This window comes from Homo sapiens, chromosome 3, assembly GCF_000001405.40.
Source record: "Homo sapiens chromosome 3, GRCh38.p14 Primary Assembly".
Taxonomy (NCBI): Eukaryota; Metazoa; Chordata; class Mammalia; order Primates; family Hominidae; genus Homo; species Homo sapiens.
This window is the reverse complement of record NC_000003.12, coordinates 132,680,602-132,697,939: the sequence shown is the minus strand read 5'-3', so window position 1 is coordinate 132,697,939 and position 17,338 is coordinate 132,680,602. Positions and strand designations below refer to the sequence as shown.

General features: G+C 34.8%; 1 protein-coding gene and 1 long non-coding RNA gene across 2 annotated transcripts in view, besides 2 other annotated features; both read left to right on the top strand.

The window, feature by feature from the left end:
- The window catches only part of NPHP3 (nephrocystin 3), a 41,801-nt gene extending 24,470 nt beyond the window's left edge, over positions 1-17,331 (top strand). Inside the window, exons 14-27 of the mRNA NM_153240.5 lie at positions 578-680; positions 1,127-1,209; positions 2,975-3,113; positions 5,122-5,286; positions 6,654-6,748; positions 7,290-7,412; positions 8,677-8,866; positions 9,049-9,290; positions 10,714-10,789; positions 11,553-11,680; positions 13,146-13,386; positions 14,416-14,541; positions 15,122-15,237; positions 15,850-17,331. Coding sequence (NP_694972.3) covers positions 578-680; positions 1,127-1,209; positions 2,975-3,113; positions 5,122-5,286; positions 6,654-6,748; positions 7,290-7,412; positions 8,677-8,866; positions 9,049-9,290; positions 10,714-10,789; positions 11,553-11,680; positions 13,146-13,386; positions 14,416-14,541; positions 15,122-15,237; positions 15,850-16,030 — 2,008 coding nt within the window. The 3' untranslated portion in view covers positions 16,031-17,331. The remainder of the gene's footprint in view (positions 1-577; positions 681-1,126; positions 1,210-2,974; positions 3,114-5,121; positions 5,287-6,653; positions 6,749-7,289; positions 7,413-8,676; positions 8,867-9,048; positions 9,291-10,713; positions 10,790-11,552; positions 11,681-13,145; positions 13,387-14,415; positions 14,542-15,121; positions 15,238-15,849) is intronic.
- Positions 1-17,338, top strand: part of NPHP3-ACAD11 (NPHP3-ACAD11 readthrough (NMD candidate)) — a 164,322-nt gene that overhangs the window by 24,520 nt on the left and 122,464 nt on the right. The window contains exons 13-26 of the long non-coding RNA NR_037804.1: positions 578-680; positions 1,127-1,209; positions 2,975-3,113; positions 5,122-5,286; positions 6,654-6,748; positions 7,290-7,412; positions 8,677-8,866; positions 9,049-9,290; positions 10,714-10,789; positions 11,553-11,680; positions 13,146-13,386; positions 14,416-14,541; positions 15,122-15,237; positions 15,850-16,026. This is a non-coding gene — a long non-coding RNA (NPHP3-ACAD11 readthrough (NMD candidate)). The remainder of the gene's footprint in view (positions 1-577; positions 681-1,126; positions 1,210-2,974; positions 3,114-5,121; positions 5,287-6,653; positions 6,749-7,289; positions 7,413-8,676; positions 8,867-9,048; positions 9,291-10,713; positions 10,790-11,552; positions 11,681-13,145; positions 13,387-14,415; positions 14,542-15,121; positions 15,238-15,849; positions 16,027-17,338) is intronic.
- Positions 3,910-4,409: an enhancer, noted in NCBI's record as "H3K27ac hESC enhancer chr3:132412375-132412874 (GRCh37/hg19 assembly coordinates)". NCBI's record gives its function as "activates a minimal SCP1, AML or CMV promoter by ChIP-STARR-seq in primed H9 embryonic stem cells {active_cell/tissue: H9 hESC(primed)}" and the evidence as "EXISTENCE:reporter gene assay evidence [ECO:0000049][PMID:30033119]".
- Positions 4,410-4,911: an enhancer, noted in NCBI's record as "H3K27ac hESC enhancer chr3:132411873-132412374 (GRCh37/hg19 assembly coordinates)". NCBI's record gives its function as "activates a minimal SCP1, AML or CMV promoter by ChIP-STARR-seq in naive H9 embryonic stem cells {active_cell/tissue: H9 hESC(naive)}" and the evidence as "EXISTENCE:reporter gene assay evidence [ECO:0000049][PMID:30033119]".

Here is a 17,338-nt window from a genome sequence, read left to right as displayed (position 1 = left end):
GCTCCTATAAGGAGCCATTTTAGACATTTTATTTGTAATTGCCTCCCCCAAGAAATTTTAATACCACACACATATTGTATATCAGCTTGTGTATATAGATATATGTGTCTATGTGTACTTTATACATAAAAAGAGTAAGTTTTTTCACTCCCCCACAAATGCAATTTTCAGTACCATATCAAGAATGTATATTGTAATAGTTAAATTTCAGTTGCATTACAAGTGCTTGTGGACAATAATTGTGTCTGATGCCACTCCTCATAGATACTCATACCTATGCTTAGTTTTACTGATAGTATGGAACATAGAACTAGAAATGTTTTACCATGTAACTATCTAATGTATATACTGTTTATTTTATAACACTGTTTGTTGTGATTCATTGCTCAAAGTAATGATACACATATTAGAATAAGATATATTAATTACTTAATATGATTAATAGACATTAGTTTTGCTTATTTTACAAAAGCAGTATAAAGTGTTAATTCCTGTGGTGGATTTTAAATTGTGTTATGGGTAATTACAGTTCTTGTTGTATTATTAAAATTTCATTTTTCTTTTCTTTACATAAAAGGTTGTGGCCTACACTTCATCTTGATCCCTTAAGTCCAAAAGATGCAAAATCTATTATAATTGCAGAATGCCACTCTGTAGACATTAAATTGAGTAAAGAGCAGGTGTGTATTTTTCATTTTGATGCAATCTTTTACTCTCTCATCTTTCCTATGAAACATCTTATGTGAGACTTAAAATTCAATATAGGGGATCTGTTATAAGGAAAACTGGAGTTTAGTAATTACTTTGGTAAATGTATTGCCTCTTAAACTAATGACAGGTAGAAAAGAAGCAATAAAAAGATTTTGGTCTTAAGGTTGACTTTAGTATATAATATTAAGCAGGTATTTTAAAAGCAAAAGAGCATTTTCATACTGGCCATATCTGTGGTCTGCAGTTGGAAGGCTGCCCACAGCCGAGGAGCCACCACTGCATGTTGTGATGTCACGGATGGCAGCAATAGTGTTATTTCTGTCGGGGTACTTGTTGATGGCTGGGTAGTAAAGACCGCTTAATTCCAGGGTGGTTTTTGTATTTCTGTTTTGTTTTTCTTGGTAAACTGGTGCAGGAGAAGAAGCTAGAACGACACTGTCGTTCTGCTACAACCTGCAATGCCCTTTATGTCACCCTTTTCGGCAAAATGATCGCGCGGTGAGTGGTGATTATTTTACATGATCTTCTGCATGTTTTGTGTTTGCTGCAGACCCTTTCTCACCCTGCAAAACTGAGAACTGATCACTACACCAGTCTGTTGAGCCACTCAGATTTTATTTGAATAGTGATACTAACATTTGTGAGAACATGGCTTACAGGTGCCTACTGTCCATGATTGTCAGAACTTGATAGATTTGTCTAATTTTCTTCACACTAATCTGTTCCCTATTGGAGGTTGCAAAAGAAAGCCATCCTCACCCTCATTTGTGGCCCCTAGCTTTGGGAAAGTGAAGGAAACAACTGAGGGTTACAATATTATTTCAGGTATCTTTGAATATCAGGAGGTAGATATATGGATATGAATTTTTAATTGTCTCTGTTCTCAAGTCCTGATAAACTTTTTAATTATAAAAATAGTTCTATTTTAGATATCCATTAGTAATCTGCCTTTAGATAAGCATTAGAGTATCACTACTTTTATTTCCTCAGTATAGCTTTACCCTATTCTATCTATTCTCAACCGTTAGAATGTTTTACTACTTTTATTTCTTCTTCAGTATAGCATCACTCTACTTTGTCTTTTCTCAATCTGAGGTAAAAAAAAAAAAGATTAATACATTTTTTGTTATTCATTGCAATAGATGGCAATTCTAGCACACATATTTCCAGACACCGAATCTAGTACTTCTTGTCTCTTTATTCCATGTTCTCATCTTGAGAACCAAATTTGAAATAAAAAAATCTTCTGAAACTTTACATTGCCCATGATATTTCATCTTTGTTTTTGTTTTTGAGACAGTGTCTCACTCTCTGTTGCCCAGGCTGGAGAGCAGAGGCTTGATCTCGGCTCACTGTAACTTCTGCCTCCCAGACTCAAGCGATCCTCCCACCTCAGCCTCTTGAGTAGCTGGGACTACAAGAGCACACCACCATGCCTGGCTTATTTTTGTATTTTTAGTATAAGCGGGGTTTTGCCATGATTGCCAGGCTGGTCTTGAACTCCTGGGCTCAAGCAATCCACCTGCTTAGCCTCCCAAAGTGCTGGGATTACAGCATGTGAGCCACTGTACCCAGCCTGCCTGTGATATTTCCACTGTCCTTTTCCACTGTTAGTTGTAGCAACACATCTGGCCTCTGTGAACATCAGTGATACAATGAGTATGATTCAAGAGTGTGAGTAATTTTTCATACATTTAATAATGTTCATTGAAAGTATTTTACTGTTTTTATTTTTGAAAGTACCTATTTTAAAGAGACTATGGACCCTTTGTTTTTTCTCTTTGTACATCTTTATATTATTTTTAAAAACTGGTAAATATTGTGTAATCTTTTAAAACATACCCCCCTATTTAATGATTTTCTTTAGCCTTGTGTTTTCAAAATTCTGGCTCCACACAAATTTAATTTGCATGGCTAACTAACAATACTTATCATCGTTTCCCTGCTTCCTGTATGTAGGTGGCATGCTTCTGGATAATAAGAACCGTGTCTGACTCATTTTTATGTTCCATAATGCATAGTAATTGCTTAACAAATAATAGATTTCAGCATGTTTATTGCACTGAATTAAATTATATATAGTAAAATAAACCCAATGACTCTAGCAGCCCCATAAAACTACCACTTTCCTTTATCATGTTTTATTGAATTTGTTATTGGTTGCAGTACAAAAAATAGAGTTCACGTTGTTTTTAATCGATCTCAAAATTTTCACAGATGTTGGCAATCTGTAAGAAATTAAATCTCTTCTCGATTCCAACAGTGCTGGGAGAGCAGGCAATTTAGATAAAATCCTTCATCAGTGTTTCCAGTGTCAAGATACTCTTTCATTATATAGACTTGTTCTGCACTCTATCCGGGAGTCCATGGCAAATGATGTGGATAAAGAGCTAATGAAGCAGGTAGAATGTAATAAACTTATAAAAAGGAATGTTAGTTTGCTTTGTGTGTGTGTGAATGGAAATAAATAACAATTCTTTTAAAATTTGTGCTTAAATATGTTTCAGGCATATGCAGGAATGCTGATAGCCATAGTGTGCTTGTGGAAATTTGTGTTTACCTGATTATCATTGAGATTTATCATCTTTTCATGTTATTGGCTATCCTTTTTTTCTGAATTGCTGGTTCAGGTCTTTACCCATTTTTTAATTGGGTCATTTGTCTTTTCCTTATCGATCTGTAGGTGTCTTAAATGTTCTGCATACTGAAAACAAATCCTTTATTAGAAAATTTGCAAATAAATGTCTTTTTCCTGTTTGTTTCTTGTCTTTTAACTGTATGGTATCATTCATTATGTTTCATTCATTATACAAAGCTTTGTTTCATATATATATGTGTGTGTGTGTGTAAACACACACACACACACACACACATAATTTCCTTCAAAAAGTTTTATAGTTTTTTCTTCGTGTGTGAAGTCCTTAACTCTTGTTGATATCTTTTTGTTTATTGTGTGAGGAAGGATTCTATTTTTTAATCCTCTGTCATATGGATAATTAATTGTTCTTTTTACTAAATAATACATCTCTTCTGCTCATTTGCAATGCCAACTGACAAATATCAAGCTCACAAATAAATGTGGGTCTGTTTCTAGGCTCTTCTGTTCTGATTTTGCCTATTATTTGCCAGTACCATACTGCTTAGTTGTTAGAACTTTAAAGTAAGCTTTGGTAGTTACTTGGGTAAACCTCCTTTTATTATTATCCTTCACAATTGCCTTGTCTAATTTTCCATATATATATTTTTAGAATTAAGTGCTATGTAATTAAAATAACATTGTAGTTTTTTGTTGATGTATTCAATTTTGGTTTTTGAAAATATATATCTAGCAACCTCATTTTTTTTTTTTTTTTCCCGAGACAGAGTCTCGCCTTGTCGCCCAGGCTAGAGTGCGGTGGCGCGATCTCGGCTCACTGCAAGCTCCGCCTCCCGGGTTCAAGCAATTCTCCTGCCTCGGCCTCCCGAGTAGCTGGGACTACAGGCACCCACGACCACGCCCAGCTTATTTTTTGTATTTTTAGTAGAGATGGGGTTTCACCGTGATAGCCAGGATGGTCTCGATCTCCTGGCCTCGTGATCTGCCCACTTTGGCCTCCCAAAGTGCTGGAATTACAGGCGTGAGCCACTGCGCCCTGCCGAACCTGGATCTATTTTTATGTTAACTTTTCAGCTTGGTGGTTCCCAGGGTTTGGACTTCTCAGCCCACTCCAAGCCCACAAGCTTCCTCGTATTCTCTCCACGTCTGTGGGCTAATGTTTTTCTCATGCACCCCTTCACTGAGGGTGAAGGTCCTTCAAAGCCCTTCAAAGATCCTGGTGTTGACAAGAAATCTAATTCTACCTCCTTGCCTCACACAGCTTAAGGGCTCACCTTCCATCCCACTGTGGCTGTGAAAACCTGAGCTCTTACTGGGGGATGCTGCCTGTCCTCTAGCTCCACTGCCCCCATAGCCAGCAGTTCCAGCCCTTTACACTCTGACTTCAATTTCCTATTCATTTTTGGCAGTTGGAGGATTTCCCTTTATTTATCTAAAAACTGTGCTTTTAGAAATGTGTCTGATATTCATACGTGTTTATAATAGGAGGGCTATTTTCTTCCACTGTCTTCCTGGAATTGGAATTCTGCCATTAATTATAATAATACATTTTATGCAGTTTTAATTTTCACTGTACTTTTTTCTGTAAGAGTGTTATCTTTGGTGTGCTAGATTTTATATATACACTATCTTAATCTTCATTAATGTCTTTTGGACAGTGTGTTTTAATAAATCTGTTTCTTGATTTATTAAATCATTTGAATTATAAGTTTTGGTAAAAAGAAATAGCCTTAAAAGAATTATGGAACTTTTAATGGCCGTTAGTTACTTATACAGGTGCTTTATGATTACTGTTAATTTGTTTTTCTACCTAGATCCTCTGCCTTGTCAATGTTAGTCACAATGGTGTGAGTGAATCAGAACTGATGGAACTCTATCCTGAGATGTCCTGGACTTTCTTGACCTCCCTTATTCACAGTTTATACAAAATGTGTTTGTTGACTTATGGATGTGGCTTGCTTAGGTTTCAACATCTGCAGGTAATGTTATTTTAGGCATCTTTTTATTTATTTATTTAAGAAACAGGGTCTTCTCTGTCACCCAGGCTGGAGTGCAGTGGCAAGATTATTTCTGCCAAAGGAATAAATTCTAAAGATCTGCTATACAACATTGTCCCTATAGTTAACAATACTGTAGTACACTTAAAAATTTATTAAGAGGGTAGATCTCACGTTAAGTGGTCTTACCACAATACAATTTTTAAAATTAAAAAATAAGTCAGACACAAAAGATCAAAAAAAGTTTCTTAAAGGTAGTTTATTTCTTGAAGAGAAAAAAAGTCTTTTTCAATTATGTTTCATTGAATTGCGGTATTATTATACAGTCATGCATTGCTTAACAATGGGGATATGTTCTGAGAAACACATCATTAGGTGATTGTATCATTGTGTGAGCATTGTAGAGCGTACTTACACAAATCTAGATGGTACAGCCTACCACACATGGAGGCTATATGGTATGGCCTATTGCTCCCAGGCTACAAACCTGCACAGCATATTACTGTACTGAATACTGTGTGTAACTGTAAGTATTTGTGTATCTAAATACAGAAAAGTTACAGTAAAAATGTGGTATGAAAGTTTTAAAACGGTATGCCTGTATAGGGCAGCTTCATTATAATTTTATAGGATCATCATCATGTATGCAGTTTGTTGTTGACCAAAACATTGTTATGTGCACATGACTGTATATGTATTAAGAGTTTGGACTCTGTAAGCCAGTCAGCCTCCTTTTCATGGATTAATGCCTATCTAAACTTGGGCAAGATCTAAGCCCCAGGCGGACTTTGGCAGTTTATGAAAGGGGTTGTGAAGCAAATTAATTGAGGTCGTTCTTGGTCCTTGTGAGGTACTAGAAAGATGTTTAGCACATAGAAGTAAATCTTTAGGAAGTTTTGGCTAAAATAATTCCTATCATCTGCAATGCCATGGTTGATTTATATATATATACAATTGTAAATGAAGTCTTACATTTGAGTATGCTGTATCATATTTGTAGATGTGAAATGTTTGCAATTTCACAGCCTTTTTCCTTTCTTTATTGTGTATTGTTTGAATATAATTTATTCTTTTTAGTAACTTTTCATTCCACACTTCTGAGATTTTTAATGTATTAACTAAAGTTTGAATTAAATTGTGTTTTGAGCTTATAAATATTAGTACAGAAATTTTTATTCTAGTAACAGTTTATCAAATAAATATGTCCTAAATTTAAAAACATTTAAGTGACATTTCTATTATACAGCTATAAAATAGGAATAATTATAAATTCTTTTTTGCAAATCTCTTGTTAGATGTACAGTGACTTACGTGAAATAGAACTCAGTATTTCTTCTTTTTCTCCCTAGGCTTGGGAAACAGTGAGATTGGAGTACCTGGAAGGCCCCACTGTTACTTCTTCATACAGGCAAAAGCTAATCAACTATTTCACCTTGCAGCTAAGGTATTGTAAATGTTCCTGTTGTTCTTCTGTAACTTCTGCAACACACTACCTTTGTGTCCTTATTTCTGTTTCTTAGCTTACAACTTAAAGTACAAAAACTTAATTATTACAAAAAAGATTAAATCCTCTCCCTATTCTGTTAATGTCAAAAGAGCAAAAGATGATTTTGTCTTTTAATATTATGCTAAAAGTTTAAACAAGGAAAATCAATGTAGGATCATTTTATTATTTTTATTTTATTCCAATAGTTTGTGTCCATGTATCTGTATGTGTATATACGGGTCCATTGAGTGTTTTTTTAAATAGTTCAATTTTAGGAAAATACTTTTAGAGTTTGGTTGATGGTTCTGCATATCACTGAATTTATTTTCTTAGATTGGTAAAGTCTCTGATTTTGACCTAACTTTTTTAGTATTAAATTATACTTAAAGAATCAGAGATATATGTTAAATATTTTTCTTCCTTTGACATTTGCCTGAAGCCTTTTTGAAGCAGTCTCATTGTAGGAAGATATTGAATATTGTCTCCTCTCTTTTGATAGTCAGGACAGAGTGACTTGGAGAAGTGCAGATGAACTCCCGTGGCTTTTTCAGCAGCAGGGAAGTAAACAGAAGCTGCATGATTGCCTTCTTAATCTCTTTGTGTCTCAAAACCTTTATAAAAGGTAAGAAACATTATAGAACATCTTTCCCCAGAAAGAGAGATTTAAAGTTGTTCAGTTTAACAAAGAAAAAATGGTATTTTTAATTTAAAAATTAGTCTAAGTATCTGAAATACAAATAGTGTAGGAGAAATCTTGAGACAATTTACAAATCTCTATTAGATCTGCTTTTCCCAAGAGGAAAACATAGAGTACTGCTGCTTTATGAAATCAGAGCTGGAATGATTTCGGTTCAACTTTTTATCTTATGCTTACATTTAAGCATGTCTAAATTTAAACCACTCAGAGAGGTGGTTCGTAATGTCTGCTTCTTTGGGCCTTCAGATATCTGAAAGCGTAGCCTTCAAACCAGACTCGGGTCCAAGTAGAATCTGTCTGGTGTTGAATTTATTTGTTTTTGTTTGTTTGTTTACTTTCTATGTCTGGTGTTGAATTTAAAGAAAGAATTACCCTAATTCAAAAATGTATTCTGTTTGTCTCTTTTGATATGTTATAGTTTGTCAGTGGCAGAACTACCTTTTTATGAGGCAACTGTCTAACCTACTAAGCTTCATGAGGGTTTTTTTCTGCCTTACTTAGAGATTTAGACATTTCTTATACAATAAGTATCATAATTTATTTTGCTCCTACATAAACTCTCTCAAATTTGTTGCATCTCTTATTTCTGATCTCCATTCCAATTTTTCATGATTCCTTTGAAATCAGATATTTTTTAGTTTACCAGCCCCATACTACTTAAGATCGCCTACAGATGAATAAGCTTACTTTTGTCATTCAATTTCTTGATGAAAATACAAAGTAGATACTCTGTGACAGTTTATTTTTTATTAGTTTCTTCTCTTTGAATTTCCATACTTAAAATAATTTTGGGAGTGAACTCAGTGGTTGGCTCCATATTGTGAAATGTGTAAAAAGGATTCAGATAGATTCCCATTGGTAAGTAGCCATGATGGTATTAAGGATAACAGCCAACACCGTGGAGTACTTACTGTGTGCCATAATCCCCCTACAGTACCAGCTGAGGCAGGTAGTGTCTCCATTTCTGCAGATGAAGGTGATGAGGTCTAAGAGGTCAGATAACCTGCTCAAGATTACATAGCTAGGATAGTGGTGGAATTCAGATAGTGAGTGGTCTGAGTCTTACCTCATTACACAGTACTCGCCTACTAATAAATTGTCAATAACTTGATATTAATTCTGGAGTTTTGATTCTGTAATGGATTTTAAAGTGTGTTTTTCATTAAAGTACTGTTATTTGTTGAAACAGGGGACACTTTGCTGAGTTGCTGAGTTATTGGCAGTTTGTTGGCAAAGACAAAAGTGCAATGGCAACAGAATACTTCGATTCATTGAAGCAGTATGAGAAAAACTGCGAAGGCGAGGACAACATGAGTTGCTTAGCTGATCTTTATGAAACCTTGGGGCGATTTCTCAAGGATCTAGGCCTTCTCAGTCAGGTAAGCTCAGCAGATCAATGGCAAGCCAGAGACAGGTGGGATTTTTGTGTTCACTCTTCTCTTTTTCCAAGATGTTAATGTGGTTTTCATTTGTTGTGCTATAATCCTTAATATTTAATCAGATGACAGATCTTGCAGCATTTCACTCACTTTAACTGGCCTTTCACCCCTTTTCCCCCCAGGCCATAGTACCTTTGCAGAGGTCTTTAGAGATTCGAGAAACAGCTTTAGATCCCGATCACCCAAGAGTAGCCCAGTCCCTCCACCAACTAGCAAGTGTATACGTGCAGTGGAAGAAGTTTGGCAATGCAGAACAACTGTATAAACAGGCGTTGGAAATCTCAGAAAATGCTTATGGTGCGGACCATCCATATACTGCTCGTGAACTTGAAGCACTTGCAACTTTGTACCAGAAACAAAATAAGTAAGATTTTTTAGATCAGTAATACCTGATTTTATGCAGGGGGATTACAGTTTTAGTGTACTTATAGGGTAAGCTTTGTTTTATCACTGTGTACTTTTCCTTACCCTGTGCCTAGTCTTCATGTGGTAAACAGAGAAAATGAGAACTATAAGATTCATCTCTGTTTGAAGATGCATGAAGGATAGAACATGGACTTTCGAGTCATATAGTCTTGGGTTTGAATCCTGGCTCATTCACTGACTAACTTTGAGTGCTTTACTAATATAGGTTTAGTATCCTTTATCCAAATGTGGAACCAGAAATGTTCAGGATTTTGGATTTGTTCAGATTTCAGAATATTTGCATATATATAATGAGATATCTTGGGGATGGGACCCAAGTCTAAACATGAAATGTATTTTTCATATACACCTTATACACATAGCCTGAAAGTAATTTTGTGTACTAGTTTTAATTTGTGCATAAAACACAGTTTTGACTGTGGCTTGAGTTGACCCATCACTTGAGGTCAGGTGCAGAATTTTCCACTTGTGGCATCATGACAGCACTCAAAAAGCTTCTGATTTTGGAGCATTTCAGAATTTGGGTTTTCAGATTAGGGATGTTCAACCTTTATGGGGCCAGCAAACCATTGCCCATAGGCCAAGTCCAGTTGTGTAAATAAGGTTTAAAGGGAACACAGCCAAATTTTTTTCATGTATATATTATCCATGGTTGCTTCTGTGCTTCAGTGGCGGAGTTCCTCACTTGGAACAGAAAGCACACGGCCCACAAAGCCTAAAATATTAACTCTCTAGCCCGTTATAGAAAAAGCCAATCTCTGGTATAATAAAAAGTCTTTCTTATCTATCAGGCACCCAATGAATGGCATCTCTTCCTCTATTAAAAATTATTTCTTTTGCTCTATCATAAGTGATACATAATGGAATTTTTTAACTTATAGAAGTATTGCTTCGTACAAATTTTGTGTGAATTTCACATTTAAACTTGACCAGAAATTAGCCTGTGCAGAAAAAGTTGTTAATTAAAAATTATTAGTGTGCTATAGAAAACTGAAATTTTGACTTTTCATTTAGTTAGGTTGCCCTTCAGAGACTTAGGATGAGTTAAATTAGTTAAAGATGATCAGATGTCAGCTACTTAAAGGACTAGACTTGCTTTGTTTTGTCAAAATTTTTTTAATTGAACAGAACTTTTTATTAGAAAAACATCCATGATAGACTAAGATATCTTAGTGTTTTGTCATATTTTGTTTTATGAAAGGGTTTTTAGAGATTCTTAATGTCATGACTATCATTTCTAGAAAAAATGCTGTATTTAATAGCCCAAAAAGACTTTACACTATGAAAAGAGTGCTTTCATTTCACTGAAGTATACTTTGAATATGTTTCTTTTGTTTGACTTACTGTAATTTTTTTTTAAGATATGAACAAGCTGAACATTTTAGGAAAAAATCCTTTAAAATTCATCAGAAAGCTATAAAGAAAAAAGGCAACTTGGTAAGGAGAGATTTCTTTTGTGTTGTGTTTTGAACGTAAGAGGAAAAGAGCATCATAAATGCATACACCCCACATGTTTAAGAGCTTTAGATTTTAAAATCTTCTAGTTTTTTAGAAGAGAACTACTTAACATTTTCTTATTTATGTGTTAAAATATCATATTACTGAGAAGTACAATTTAGACTTTAAAAAGTGGAACTCTAAATTCATTTGAAGGTTAGATTTTGAAAGACGGAATTTAAAGCTACCTCAGTTCTTTAAAGGGTTGGAAAAAGGAATAAAATAAATTTAGTTAACATTTTGTGTTATGTTCAAATGTGAAGAAAGCCTTCCCCTCAAATACACAATAAAAGTTATTTTAATTTTTTTAAGTTGCTGATAAAATCTAAATGTAGCATATTTCTTTAATTTAAAATGCTGTGTGCATTTTTATGGACCTGATGTTTATGTGTTTACCTATGGGGTTGATAAATATCTGCAAATTAATTATATTCTATTATTTCTTGAAGCACTTTGAGATATAGTTTACTTTCTAAAATATAATCATTTTCATGAAATAGTTTTTAATGAATTTTAGAATGTGTTGCCATGTGGAAATATTTGTATTTGTAATCATCAAGTTAATTTAGTGTGATGCTTAAAATAATAGTTATCTAGATTAAATGGGAAAAAAGGAAGATTTTTTAGGACCCTCATATATTGTTTCAGAATCAAGGATTGCACCTACTTAGTGATTGCTTTTCATTTTTCATGTTTGCTGCAGTACGGATTTGCCCTTTTACGTAGACGGGCTTTACAGTTAGAAGAGCTTACATTAGGTAAGGACACACCTGATAATGCTCGGACCCTCAATGAACTGGGTGTTCTCTACTATCTTCAAAATAACCTGGAGTGAGTACCATGGGGTTAATAATGAAAATAATTAACCATTTTCTCTTTGATGCAATGCTGTTTTACATTTTTGTCAAGTCTAAAGCTAGAAAAAAAATGATAAAAACCACGCAAAATTTCATGTATGATGTTATATAATGAGCATACACATACCTAAAGACCATGGCATTTTCTCTACTGTGTTTCTTTTCACACTCTTTTTTTTTTTTTTGAGACGGAGTCTCGCTCTGTTGCCCAGGCTGGAGTGCAGTGGTGTGATCTCGGCTCACTGCAACCTCCACCTCCCATTCAAGCTATTCTCCTGCCTCAGCCTCCTGAGTAACTGGGACTACAGGCGCATGCCACCACGCCCGACTAATTTTTTGCATTTTTAGTAGAGACAGGGTTTCACTGTGTTAGCCAGGATGGTCTCGATCTCCTGACCTCGTGATCTGCCCGCCTTGGCTTCCCAAAGTGCTAGGATTACAGGCGTGAGCCACCACGCCTGGCCCACATTGTTTCTTAACTGAAAAGTTATTCTGTAGCTTCCCTGGTGTATTTTATATATTTATGAAAAGTGAGTTTGTGTAGATATTGTGCATAAGATCTCACAGAAGCAGCAGCTTGGGACTAATGGTAAATAATGTAGACGGTTTCTAGTTTTGTCAGTTTATTTGGGCAAAAGGATTCAAAATGACATTTATATTTATATGTTATAAAAAGTATTTTTGGACTTCATATATCAGAAAAATATAACAAATTTGAAACTTTGGATGTCAGAAAAGTATAATAAATCTGTAGCCCACTTACAGAAACTTATATAAAAAATAATGATTTATTCTTTTGTTAAAAATTATTTAGTACTGGCTGGGCATGATAGCTCATGCCTGTAATCCCAGAGCTTTAGGAGGCTGAGGCATTAGGATCACTTGAAGCCAGGAATTCAAGACCAGCCTGGGCAACATAGTGAGACCCTGTCTCTACAAAAAAAATTAATAAATTAGCCAGACATGGTGGTACACACCTGTAGACCCAGCTACTTGAGAGGCTAAGGTGGGAGGATCACTTGAGCCTAGGAGTTCAAGGTTACACACACGCACACATACAAAAAAACAAAATAAAGAAATAAAAATTATTTAGTACTAACTCCAAAGGGAGGAAGAGTGAATACAAAAATCTTTTATTGGACCTAGGTCTAATAATTTTTAAAGTATAAAAGTTTGTTTTGGAAAATATCTATCAGTTTTTCTTTCAGAAGTGGAGAATTGAGGCAATCATCCACACATTTTAGGCCCTCAAACTGTCAGGAAAAGGGCAGGAAGAGATAGGGGTGGGGAAGAGGGGGAAAGTAAGATTTTGAGCTGAATCTCTTATTTTAACTAGAATCTAAGAATAAAGATGAGTCAGTTCTCCACTTAATTTAGGGGTCAGGATTCCAAACTCTAGAAAATAGATAGTTTAAGCCATTTTGGGATTGTGTTCACAGAACAGCTGACCAGTTTCTGAAGCGTTCCTTAGAAATGAGGGAGCGAGTTCTAGGACCAGATCACCCTGACTGTGCTCAGTCTTTGAATAATCTGGCAGCTCTATGCAATGAAAAGAAACAGTATGATAAAGCAGAAGAACTTTATGAAAGAGCTTTAGATATTCGGAGACGTGCATTAGCTCCTGATCACCCTTCTTTGGCATATACGGTGAAGCATCTTGCCATCTTGTATAAGAAAATGGTAAGTAAGCTTTGACATTCTTACATGTTTTATAACATATCAGTTAAGCCATAACTACTATCAGCAAAATAATTTGTCTTTATGAGGGACAGGTTAGTTTATATGAGCTTTAAAAATCATGATTTAACTTTTAACAAGTAACTGAGCAGAACATTTAAAAATAATTATTTTATACTGAACTGGTTACATTGATTCTTGATTCTGAAATAATATACTAGTAAATTAATATGCTGGGTTTGTTTTGTTAAATACATTCCAAGTACAAATGCATTTATTAGCATTCTAATTCAAACTTATTTTACATTTCAGAAGTTCTAAAATTCCACCAATATTAAGTTTGCTGTGTAAAGCAACATAAACATAAGAAATCAGGAGATGTCTTTGTAGTTGATTAAATGAACATTTTTATTTCGTTCTTTCTTGGCTTTGCCTGTAATTAAATGTAACCATTGTTTGCCATAGGGTTCTATACTGAGTGATATTTGGGATTTTTATAGCTGTTCTCAAAAAAGAAAAAATTCCAGGGAAGCCTGCTTTCATTTAGCATAGTTACAGAGCTTTGTAGACTGTCTTTAGACTTTGTGGGTCCATTACTGGTCATCCTGACACCAAAGTTGTTTTAGTAAGAAGGGTACATTGCTGCTATTTCTGCCCAACTTTCAGGTGAAGTGAAGTAGTTAGAAAAATCTGGAAGGGATTTGGCAAGAAATGAGCTTTTTATTTTGATGCAGTCTCCAAATTATGTGCAATAGTAAATCTACTTCAGCTGATATGTTTTTACTACACTAGAAACAGTAATAGTGGATGATCCTAAAGGGTTTTCTGAATTATCAAAAATGCTTTTCTATACAGTGTAGCTTTAAATTTTCAGTTATCTATAAACTTAATCATTAAGCTGATAGGAAATGCTTCTGAGATTTTTTTCCCTCAAAATTACCCTTTAATATGAAATTTTACTTATGGAAAAAGCTCTGATAAGATAGTATTTATTGCCTTATATTTTTGTTAGATTTAACTCTTGTTTTTTAGGGGAAACTTGACAAAGCTGTACCTTTGTATGAATTGGCTGTTGAAATTCGACAGAAATCTTTTGGCCCAAAGCACCCTAGTGTAGCTACTGCCTTGGTGAACTTAGCTGTTCTTTATAGCCAAATGGTAAGTTCCCATATTTTAACGTTGTATCAGTGAATGATTTTATGGTATAAAACATAGGTAAACATGAATTAGATAGGGAACACTAAATAGAATGAAAGACAATTTAAGGATATTTCTAATACTTCCTTTAGTACTTGAGAAACTATTGAAGTTAGACTTGTATGAAGGTCCCTTCCTCTTAGTGTAAAACACTGTTAGTTCAGAGCATAGGCTTAGTTTCTAAAATTCTGGAGATACCCTACATCCCTCCATATAATATTTATTTAAGTATTTAAGCCTGTGGCATTTGATTATGATGGGTGAGAATCAGGTGGGGGAGCCATTGGGCAATAAAGGAACAGGTTTGTGCTTACAGTATTGGATTATGGTCAAATGGTTACCAAGCCAGGTCTAAATCTTAAGTATCTGACTTTCTATTATACTGCTTCTCCTATGATTATTCATAAGTTAATCTGTTTATTCCCATCTTTTAGGAGGATATTAACATTTTAAAGTACTAATCAAAGTAGGTTAGCTTAGTCTAGAATACATTAATTTCAGAAACCCAGTGTGCATGAGCATTATCATTTTTTTTAATAAGAAAAAACACGTTGAAGCTTTGCCATTATATGAAAGAGCATTAAAGATTTATGAAGATAGCCTGGGTCGGATGCATCCTCGAGTTGGAGAAACACTGAAAAATTTAGCTGTGCTTAGGTAAGAATTTTTTTCACTTTCCTTATACAGCCTCTTTTATTCGAAGTAGCTTTGTCTTAGAATAGCACAAAATATGTATTACTGAATGTTTTTTCTTAGAGTGGGGAGGGGTTGTTTTTTGCTGACTGACTTCAAGAAGTACTGAAGTAGTATCCAGAAATGAAATGAAGCCTGCATGATCTATTTTGCAGAGGAGCATATGTATGCATCATGGCAAACAGTGAAGGATGGTTTATACTACATCTGGCTCTGGGAGTAATATGGGTAATTTGCTGTCCCCAGAGTGAAGTTGCCATTAAGTATATGTTGACTTTTGCTTGCTCATTTGTATTTTTCTCAGGATGCAGAGAATACCTAACTTTGCTTAGCAATTTCACTGCCTCTATTACAACATGGTTTTAATGATATCCATATGAGACACAAAAATACTGATACTGGTAGAAAGGAGAAGAGTTTGGGTGTTGTTTTACTGGTCTGCTTGAGTGAATACACTGGAAAAAGAGGGGAAATGGGCAAATATTTACAGCTTCTTTTTCTGTATCCCATAAGGTCATTTTGAATTGGTAAGAGGTTATATTCTCATTTTAAGAGTTTTTGTTTTCTCTCTCAAAGCTATGAAGGAGGAGATTTTGAAAAAGCTGCTGAATTATACAAAAGGGCAATGGAAATAAAAGAAGCAGAAACATCACTCTTGGGTGGAAAAGCTCCTTCACGCCATTCATCAAGTGGAGACACGTTTAGCTTAAAAACAGCTCATTCTCCTAATGTTTTCCTTCAGCAAGGACAAAGGTAATAGCAGCAGTTAGAATTCTTTGCAAATGTACCTTAAGACAAAATAATTAAACATTTGGAACATTTGAATTTGAAACTTTAAAAAAATGTTGTACGAAATTTTACTACGTGTGATTTAACTGCTATTTGTATGAAGTTGTATTGGATTACATTAAGTTGGAATTGTGATTATGTCTGTTTTAGTTGTTTAAAAGAATTTTCCTATTATATGGTATCCAAGGATGTAGACACATTAGAATTATAAGAAGACATGAGGAGCAAATCATGAAGAGCGGATTGGTCTTTGTTCAACAAGAGCTGGCAGAGTAGTTAAGACAAGGAGTTCAAAAATTCCATGAATCTTGGCCAGGCATGGTGGCTCATGCCTGTAATCCCACCACTTTGGGAGGGTGATGCAGGAGGATCACTTGAGGCCAGGAGTTGGAGACCAGCCTGGCCAACATGGTGAAACCCTGTCTCTACTAAAAATACAAAAAAAAATTAGCTGGACCTGGTGGCGCATGCCTGTAATCCTAGCTACTCAGGAGGCTGAGGCATGAGAATCGCTTGAACTCAGCAAGTGGAGGTTGCTATGAGCTGAGATTGTGCCAGTTCATTCCACCCTGGGCAACAGGGTGAGACTCTGTCTCAAAAAAAAAAAAAAAAAAAAAAAGAATTCCATGATTCTTTTGAGCTCTCAAGAGCTACTTTAGCCTTGCCATTCCTCTTGCTTTTCAGCAGTAGTCTGGCCCAATTCTCTACCTCAAAGGAAAGTTTCAAGGATTAAAGGGTTAATGTTTATGAACGATTCAAATTGTCTTCAGTGAAACACATTAGTCACAAGAATCCCTGATTGCTGCACTTTAAAAAATTCTTTACCTTTTCCTTGAGCAGATTGGTCCAGTCCCTCTGCTTTCTGTTCTGTCTACATTGTGTATTATTTATTACTATATAGTATATGTATCTGCATAATGTCTGAAGTCATTAATGCAGTAACAGGTCAAGCTCTTTAGCATTCTTTGACTTTTCCCAAAATATAGATATGACATTCTCCTTTATCTTCCTTCTTAGATGGCCTAAATCTGTCTCTTCATTTACCTCAAACTCAAATTAGTATGCCATTTTCATACTGAAAATTAAATATTTTTATGGATTTTATAAATATTGCAACATTTTAGATATTGTTTTGGACCATTTGTGTATTTATATATAATAAAATCATCAATTTAATACTTGTAAGATCCTAACATGTATTGATTGTAAAAGTGAAATATGTAATAGCCACACTTCACTGTTTTAAAATAAAAGTGCAATTTCAAGTTCTTTTTTC